Raw genomic sequence first — 9,764 nt, forward strand, 5'->3', positions numbered from 1 at the left:
TTGGGAGGCTGAGGTGGCAGGATCGCTTGAGCCTGGGAGGTGAAGGTTGCAGTCAGCCAAGATTGCGCCACTGCACTCCAGCCTGGGTGACAGAATAAGACCCCATCTCAAAAAATAAAAAAAATAAAAAGACAATGGTTATAAGATGAATCTTGCTAACTCAACTCTGATGTGGCACAGGTATTAACCATGGACCTGTGATAGCTGGTGTGATTGGAGCTCAGAAGCCACAATATGATATCTGGGGCAACACTGTCAATGTGGCCAGTAGGATGGACAGCACCGGAGTCCTGGACAAAATACAGGTAATGCAGAGTGTGGTCTGCGCTGCCTGCATCAACCATGTCTGTTCTCTTGGGAACCATAAATAAGTATAATAAGGATACTAATATATTAAAACAAAGGAAAAAAGTAAACCTTGAAATTTACTTATCTTTTGGAGAACAATTTTTGGGGAAATGTCAGTTTCTGTATTGACTGTTAACAACAACAACAAAATTCTAACAATATAAAGGCTATTATATTTGTGAAAACAAATGATCCAGCAGCAACCAGCATGATGGCACAACAGCCCTGAGCATTCAGTACAGGAGAACCTTTATTACTTCTCCTGGTGCTAATACCTTAAAAAGGACTTTGCAAACGAGAGGGATCACATGCAACCAAAACCAGACACAACCCCTCACCTTCTTCTCTCAAGCTGAATTGGGAGGAGGGGAAGTGGTAGGCTTCGGAGAGGTGGGAGATGAAACAGAAGGTTGATATGAATGGCAGCTCTGGAATCCACCCAAGAGGGAGAAAGGAAGGTGTAACAAATGAAAAGCAGTGGTTGGAGAAAACTAAAATTATTTTATGTGACTATTCCCATTGCTCATTAAATCAATTATAATCGTGGTTAAAGTAACTATATTACAATAGCACTAATAATATTGTATTTTTAAAAGTATTTTAAAATCACTGAAAAGATAATAGAAAAAAAATCTGTTATTAGAACTATGCTGAAACTATCCCCCCAGTTACAAAAGAGCAGTGGTTCTGCCCAGGTTGACAGTGACAGAATCAAGGAAGAGCGGGAAGAGAAACAAGGGAGGCTACGAAGATGGCAGCTTGGTCAAGCCTGTTCTTCAATAATTCCGCACCCACGTCCTGTGCTCCTCCCACGTGCTGACTAGATGCTGTGGCTACAGCATGAGCAAGTCAAACTCAACTTTGCCCTTGTACAGCGAATGTTCTCTTGGAGATGACCGTTAGCCACCAGAAGTCACAGTGGTGCCACTGCAAGTGTGACTGTGCTGGAGGACTTCAGCTGGCCTGTGTGGCTGGGGAAGGCTCTGGAGAACTCGATTTTCAGACGACAGGCTGTGTGAGTAAGAAAGGTGTGGAACTGGAGACAGTGTGTGAAGACCACCTTTTCAGATGTGAAGTGAGCTGATGGAGCAGAAGGGGAAGGGAGTTCAAGGCTGCGTTCAAGAATTATCCTGAACAGGGGCAATGCTCACAGGAAGAACGGAGTGAGGGGACCAGTGAAAATAAAGGTGGTTTGAGGTTCCCCCGGTGAAGGAAGGAGATTGGAACAGTGTGTGGTTGGAGAGTGGGCTCACAGCTCAGTAGCAACATCTGCAGCATTAACGGAGAAAAGTGAAGAAGGAAGGGTGCAAGAGTGGAAACAGGAAGCTACAGTTCATTCCAGTATTCGGAAGAAAGAAGGGGATCTCAGCTAAGAAAAGAATAAGAAGAAGATAAAGAGGTGCATGTCATTACATTTTAAATCTACCATTATACTCTTGGATAATATATGTAGAATGGTAAACATGTTCACAAGGTTTAGATGTAACTTTAAATATATTTATAGCAAAAGCCATTTTGTATCATGGTTTGGAAATTTTGCTTAAACTGTGGTTAGAGATTATCTTTTTAATTTTCATCATTGAACCCACACCCAAATCCACTTAATATATTTTGGTTAATACTAGAATTTCATTCAATTTTACCATTATTACACCAAGAAGCTATCCTGAAGCTTGCTATCATAATGACAAAATGACACGCCAGTGTAATATCTGTCCCCCTCAGAGGCACAAACATCTAGCAACACAGAATGTGTTTCAGTGAAGAGCTTGGAGATACCAAGGTTTTATGGTCCTTCCTTGCCTTCTTCAAAATTCTGCTTCTATTAATAGCTAGAAATTAGTGAAATTCAATCTGCCTTCCAGTGAGCTCATCAGTGAGCTGATCATCAGCAGCTGGAACACATACACCTGATTGTACACAGTTCCAGACACCCAGAGAGAAGGGCTGGGATCTGCAAGTGAGAAGCGTGTGTGCATGTGTGTGTACATGCATGTGTGTGTGTGTGTGTGTCTGTGCTGAACACTCTATTTGTCTCACTCTCAGAAAGCAGTGGATTCACGTTTCACCCCCGTTATGTTACATTCTGGAAAATGAATTTCTGCTAAATGGAAAATTTATATGAAAGTCACCGGACTTGCACTATAGATTTATCATGGTGGTCCTCTGGGCTTTTGATAAATCCCTATAGTGTGTGTCTCAGCTTAGCCAAGACATGCGAATAGCCTTGCCTCCTAAAATTGACTGCACAGACTGGCACAGTCCTTTCCTCTTTAAAAGACTGTCCCCTCCATTGTTGTCAGAATGGGCTTTTTATTAAACCTCGACTTACCTGCCTTTCATATTTACCCCATCTCGTTCATTCCTTTGGTCTTTCTAAAGGATATCTTTAATTTTTGTATGGAATGGAGGAAACATTACTTCTAAGTATCTGCCTTCTTTTATTCAGATTGAGTCAACACTTGCTACAAAGTAAGTAAAAGTCCAACCAAGAGAAGGAAGAGATAAAAGAAAACTAATGGGAGGTGGGGAGGAAATATTCCAACCAAATTGGCCATTGCCAAGGATCTGCTCACGAGATCAGACTTGGAGTGAGTTTCCAACACTGGCTCCAGCTGCCTCCCCTCTCATGCTAGGGTGCAAGACGAGGCTCTTCTCCCTGGGGCTGGAGCTGTGGTCATCATCTGTGGAGACTGCTCAGTTGCCCAGCCAGAACAAGAATCGTGGGGCGTTTTGGCAGCCTAGTCTAATCATTTTCTGATGGTACCAAGGCTTCCGGGACTTTCTGCATAAACATCGCTAGCCACTTCTAATGCCCAGGGATACTCCTGCAATCCTGGACAACCCCAGGTCTTATCTTGGCAGGGAAGAGAGGCCTGCCCCTACCAAGGACTCACTTTCCCACCTGCAGGCCAGCCCATGTCCCCAGCACAACACCCGGAATATTCCGACGATTTATGGCAGTTTTTAATATGCTTTCTAGATCCCCTAGCAGCTTTTAAGCACTTGGGAGAAGTATCAAAAGCAATTTGAGTGAGGCAGGTCATGGAGAGTGCTCCCTCCTGGAGATCGTAAATCTCCTAGAGGTCGATGTTTGAAATGAGTTTGAGCTCATATGTGTCTCAAAGAGGATATTGGGCTTCATAAAGCTCCATGCGACTCAGGGCAGGTCGGCCACCTACACCGGCTCCATGACCTCTGATCCCTGGAGGGAAACAAGACAGGTTTCTGCCTGTCAGTAGGGAGCCATGTTTGTAGACCTGTGTTTGCTTCCTTAGCACGGAAGCTGAAGGGCTGCATTTGGGTAAGTTTTTAATCCCGAAGGTGTGGCTTGCTTCCTCACTCCAATAAGCTCTCTTTTCCATTTATGTGCAAAAAATAGTAGTGAGATGCCAGGAAAATAAAAAACGATGCCCAGACCATTAATAAGCTTCTCCTAGGCCTGAGGAACGGGTTCTTTTTATTAAAGAGCATTTAACTCCCAGCATGCTTTCTAGCCTGGAAACCCCAAGAACAGCATAGCAAGCCCACTCAGCAACCCTGCGGCTTCTCCTAGGCCTGGAGGCATAGTAACCGGTGTGCATCGAGATGGACAGCTTCTTCCTCCCGGTTTCCCATTAATCATGCGGTGCTGATTGGCGGGTGGTTCGGCATTATGAACACCAGTGGATAGTTTTAAAATGCCAGTGACATTAGCACCAGTAAATACCTCAACAGTTAACCCCCAAAGCACCAAAAGGCCACTTTTGGTGGAAGGCCGCTCGTCCAATGACTGCAGAATTTGCAAACCTGAGTTTCATTGGTTTTCTTCATCTTCTTTCAGCTCTTATCCAGTACACAAAGCACTCCCGGGGCTCCTGCCCTCCTCCCAGGACTTGGGCCAGACCAGAGCAGCAGGACATGGACATCTGGCACCTGTGCCTCCTTTTCCTTTCTGCTCTGCTCATCAGGGTCCCGAGGACCCACACGTGGACCTTGTGCTAGGGGCTGTCCTTCCATGACATTGCAGAAAGGTGGATGATTCTTCCATAGCCCGCCCTTGAGATCTGCGCATGGAGGATTCACCCTGGTTCTGGGCGTCCCTGGATGCTGTCCTGGGCTCTCATGAGCACAGCCCCTCATGGTTTCCTTGCACTTCTACCTCTGCCCCAACAGTGATGTCTGCCCTCAAGGCCTTTCTTAGTCTCCAAGTCCAAGGAGGCTGGAGCTTTGCTGTTGACACGGCCCCCACCTTTGCACCTTCCCCGGGACACACCACAACCAAAATTGTGCCATAACACCCCTGTGTGCCATAACACTGCTGTGTGCCATAACACTGCTATGTGCCAGAACAATGCTGCTGTGTGCCATAACAGCGCTGCAGTGTGCCACAACACTGCTATGTGCCAGAACAACACTGCTGTGTCCCATAATAACGCTGCTGTGTGCCACGACAACGCTGCTGTGCGCCACGACAACGCTGCTGTGCGCCACGACAACGCTGCTGTGCGCCACGACAACGCTGCTGTGTGACATGACAACGCTGCTGTGTGCCATGACAATGCTGCTGTGTGACATGACAACGCTGCTGTGCGCCATAAAACTGCTGTGTGCCATAACACTGCTGTGTGCTGTAACAACACTTGTTGTGTGCCGTAACAACGCTGCTGGGTGCCATAGCAACACTGCTGTGTGCCATAACACTGCTATGTGGCTTGTAAGCTGCCCAGCCCTGTCACACCCACCTGGCACAGGTTTGTCACTCCAGTGCTGGAGGTGGCCAGGGTCTCACAGGTGCCCTTGTTGCAGCCATGCCAGCTGCCTTCTCAGATGAAGTGGGAGGAGATTGCTCCTTTGTGCCTTTTTCTCATGGTTCCAAAGCAGCATTACCAGGGCTTTCTGTCTGCCCAAACTCAGATACCTGCTAGGGGACACTGGGTGGAGGAGCAGGTAGCCAACAGAGGGGTCTTCCCTGGCCTCAGAAGCTGAGGCCTCACCCTCAGACCACGCCTGTGTGTCTCACTGGTTCTCTGCTTTTGCAGCTCCTCCACACTCAGGCAGCCCAAGCCCAGGCAGGCGCGGGCCCACAGTCCCAGACAGGGTGTCCTAAGGAAGGCGCAGCACACGCAGAAGCTCAGGGAGCCAGTACTGGACAGTGCATCTCCGCTGAGGAGGAAGCTGTCAGAGCCAGCAAGTTCACGGCCATCCGACCTGCAGGGCCTGGACATGGTTCAGCTGCCGGGTCCCTCGCCTGTCGGTGCAATGGCAGGAAATAAGTGGTCCTGTCAAGCCAGCAGCCTGCAAGAGGGGCTGCCCTCCTTAGCCCCCGTTTCAATGCAGTGAAGCGAGGAGACCTTTGAGACTTGACTGGGAGCATCATGCTCATGCGGACACCAGTGCAAATTCCTACAGCTCTTTCAGTTTTAGGTTACTTCACTCAAAGGCATCAAACCTGACAGACGCGACCATTGGCAGGAGTCTACAGTGCTCAGTGCTCCTTCTCGGGGTGTTCCTCCCATCGACACTGACATCTATGATTAATGTTTATTTCATGAAAGGACATTCATGACAATGTATAAACATCATCCAGAATCCCACCACTCCAATCTATTTTGGTTTACTCTCTTTCATCCAGGTCTCTTCAGTGTGAATACATAACATCATGTGGTTGAAATCATAGCCTGGATCCAGGCTCAATTCCTTTTCTGGGTGAAATGGTTTGACATTGTGTCATCCATGATAGCATCATGGTAGCACCGTAGTTTACTGGAGTTACTTGAATTTTAGGTTGTTTCCAGTTTTTCACTATCCCAGCGCTGAATTAAACAACATTGTCCTTTACAACCTTTTTTTCTTGTGGATTACTCTCACTTTTCTACTAACTTCTCAGGAGTGGAATTCCTGGGTCAAAGAGCATGGTGCTTTTTTTAGCTCTGCATCCTTGAGTCAGATGGGTTGTATCAATGTATGTACTAAGCCCGTTTTCCCGTGTTCCTGTGCCTTCTAGGTTACCGAGGAGACGAGCCTCGTCCTGCAGACCCTCGGATACACGTGCACCTGTCGAGGAATAATCAACGTGAAAGGAAAGGGGGACCTGAAGACGTACTTTGTAAACACAGAAATGTCAAGGTCCCTTTCCCAGAGCAACGTGGCATCCTGAAGAGTCACCTTCATTTTGGCAAGAAGACTGTATTTTCAGGAAGGTATCACACACTTTCTGACTGCAACTTCTGTCCCTTGTTTTTGATGTGCGTGCTGTCTGTCCTATGGAGCCTCTGCAGACTCGTTCTCGTGACCCAGTGGCATACCGTTTGGTGTCTGATGTGTGCCCAGATCGTTCTGCCACTTGCACTGTGCTTGCTCCTAAGCAAAAGGGAAAAGGAGCGCGCGTGATAGAAGAAAAGCACTGGGAGAACTAACAGAGGAGAAAGGTGAAACACACACACATTCTTAAGGCAATAAAACTAGGGGGTGTATATTATCTTCTGGTGCATGTTCTTTTCTGGAAAATATGGTAGCTCGCCAACCGCATCTGCTCATCTGATATTCAAACACACAGTATTCGTGAATAAGTTGATTCTGTCCCCCACGTGGACTCTGTGCTCACCCATTGTCTCATTGCCAGTGGTGTCCAAGGGCCCCCGTTGGGACCCACGGCTCTCGTCCCTCTGCTCCGTGTGTCTCATGCCAGCAGCACGTCGCCATCCGTCACCAGAATTAGTCCTCACAGCCTAGGACCAGTTTTGTATCAAACTCGTCTGATGTTTTGATGCCATTTGTCTTTTGTAAAGTTAATTCATTAAAAGTTTTATGTACTTTGATTTACAGTGCCTGTATCTTTTATTTTCCTGTCTTCTTTCTCCTGTGGTTTGCTCCAGAATTAAGGTTTGTTTTCCATCCATTCTCCCTTTTGACACAGTTGTTTCAGAAAGAGCTCTCCAGAAGCCAATATTGAGATGTAATTCAGATTAGGACACAGTGTGTGACGCAGATAACTGGTTACTCAGCTCCCTGGAAAGCAGGCAAGCATGTTGAATGTATCTAGTGGTCTGATTTTAATTTGGGCATCTCTAGAGAACGCTTTCAGGGAAAAATACTTTAATAGTAAAAAGATTCTCTGCGAGCAACAGTGCCCCCTCCGTCCACTACGCTCCTGTCTCCAAGAATGTTTTGCTAGAGCTAACAGACATAGACTGCAAAAGAATAATTTGGAATCAGCTATGCAAATCAGTCTCACAATAGCGTGAGCTAACTGAGAGAAGTACTAAGACCCACAAACTGCCTGTTAAGTCTGAGAAGGCTAAAGAAGACACACAGCCAACGTTCATGCATTTTTAAAGACAGAAGGCCTTGAAGAATTTGTTCTTGTAAATCCAACACAAGTTGTTTGGTACTTTTAACATAAAGAAATCATACTTTGCCAAATAGTGAAAAGTAGAGCAATCGTGTATAAGCTAATGTTTAAAAGCAAAACTGCAAATTGTAGCCCAGTTGGTCAAACTTGTTTTCTTTTTATAACTCATGGCAGGCATCTGTAAGAAGTAGAGAACCCAGATGATCTCTTAGGAAGCCTTTTATTCGTGGGAACTCGAACTTGAAGCACAAGTTCCTGGTTTGAATCCTGGCTCTGATTTTTTACTGGCTGTGTGACTTTGAACACATCTCTTAGTCCCTCTTAGGAGTACTTTCCTTATTGGCAACTTATGGACTCGCTAGTGATTAAACGAGGCAATGACTGTGAGCGAGCCTGGCAGGTGCCCCGTGGTACATTCACAGCACGGGCACAGCTGCTGTGCCAGGACTGTGACTCATTCCCAGTAAAAGGCACTTATCGAAGCTGATAACCGTCCTTCATCACCGAAGTGTGAGTAGAGCATGACTTATTTAGTATTCTGCCTCAATGGGGAATTTTTTGATCCTGTAATCACAACTCAGCATTGGCCTTAATATACCTAAATCTCCAAAAACAGTGATTAAAGCAAGAGAATTATTACAAGGGCTTTTCTCTTTCCTCTAACTCATTCTTCACGGATGCCGTAGCGTTTCCGTGAGCTCAAACTGGCCTTGGTGTAAAATGTGTAAGGATGAGCAGCAGGCGTGCCTCGTGGGTTCTTCCTCTGTTACATCCTGCTACACTCATCCGCAGGTCACCTTAGTTCACCTACCCTGAGTGAACACCCCCAGCTGGGTGGTCCACCAAGTTCTCATAAACAGAGTCCCTCCCATTCCCCCACGGGGTGCACCGAACTTGGGTTTGCGCTAAAAAGAACTCAAAAGGAGAACTGTGCTCTCCCAAAGCCATATCACCAGTCTTACCAAACAATAGGCTTTTAAAAGCATTGAGTCATTGTCAGAATCCACTATGGGAAGCTCTGTGTGTACCTGGTCCCTTCTAGGTGTGGTCCCATAGGAGCAGCCTTAGCATCCCCTGTGAACTTATCAAAAATGCAAATTCTCAGGCCCCAACCTGAAGGAGGACCCTGAATTTGAGATCCCCGGGGCTGGGGCCCAGCACAACTGCTGTTTAGTGAACAGGTTCTCCAGGTGATTCTGATCCCTGATCAAGCTTCAGACCTCCCTCCCTCCCCAGTGTTTTTGCAGGTGAGGAAACAGGGGCAGAGTAATTCAGGCACATGTGTTCAGAGTTCCACAGTTGATTAGCAGTTGAGGCCAGGCTAGAATGGAAAACTGCCTGTTCCTTGAATCTGAAAGAGCATTATTCCTGGTCAAAGCTCCTTAAAGTTCTGGGCAGCTAAAAGCATCCCTGTGAGCAAAAATGCCAGGCAGAAAACTGGCAGTGCACCTCTCATCAGCCCAGGTCCCAGTGCCATTGGCTTCAAGAAAAAAAAAAAATCTCTCCCCAATGCTCTCCTTAACCTTTAAGTCTTACAGGAAGCCTCTCATAGAAATTGCCTCCAGTCCAGTTTCCCAAAAACCCCAGTGTTTTACATATCTGTTTAGGAGTGTCTAAGTTTTGTCATCAATCCAGGATGTTATTCTTCCTTCCCAACTCACTGTGCTCCTAAAGGCAGCAACCATTCATCTTTCCTTTGCTCTGGATACACCGAATGACCAGGTAACATCATCAGGCCGGGTGCAGTGGCTCCTATAATCCCAATATTTTGGGAGGCCGAGGAGAGAGGATCACTTAAGCCCAGGAGTCTGAGACCAGCCTGGGCAACATAGCAAGACCCCCATCTCTGCAAAAAAATAAGAAAATTAGCTTGGCATGGTGGCACGTGCCTGTAGTCCCAGCTACATGGGAGGCTGAGGTGGGAGGATCACTTGAGCCCAGGAAGTCCAGAACGTAGTGAGCCTTGATTATACCACTGCACTCCAGCCTGGGTGACAGAGCGAGACTCTGTCTCAGAAAAAAAAAGAAAAAAAAGAAAAAGCAACATAATTGCCCAGTGATGAAAATTTGATAAACCAAAACA

At 46.5% G+C, this 9,764-nt stretch overlaps 1 protein-coding gene across 2 annotated transcripts in view; it reads left to right on the forward strand.

Annotated features, from left to right (window-relative positions):
* Positions 1-9,697, forward strand: part of ADCY2 (adenylate cyclase 2) — a 433,944-nt gene extending 424,247 nt beyond the window's left edge. For both annotated transcript variants that reach the window (NM_020546.3, XM_011513942.3), the window contains 2 exons: positions 181-305; positions 6,335-9,697. In NM_020546.3, coding sequence (NP_065433.2) covers positions 181-305; positions 6,335-6,487 — 278 coding nt within the window. In that variant the 3' untranslated portion in view covers positions 6,488-9,697. The remainder of the gene's footprint in view (positions 1-180; positions 306-6,334) is intronic.

Source organism: Homo sapiens, chromosome 5 (assembly GCF_000001405.40).
Source record: "Homo sapiens chromosome 5, GRCh38.p14 Primary Assembly".
NCBI lineage: Eukaryota > Metazoa > Chordata > Mammalia > Primates > Hominidae > Homo > Homo sapiens.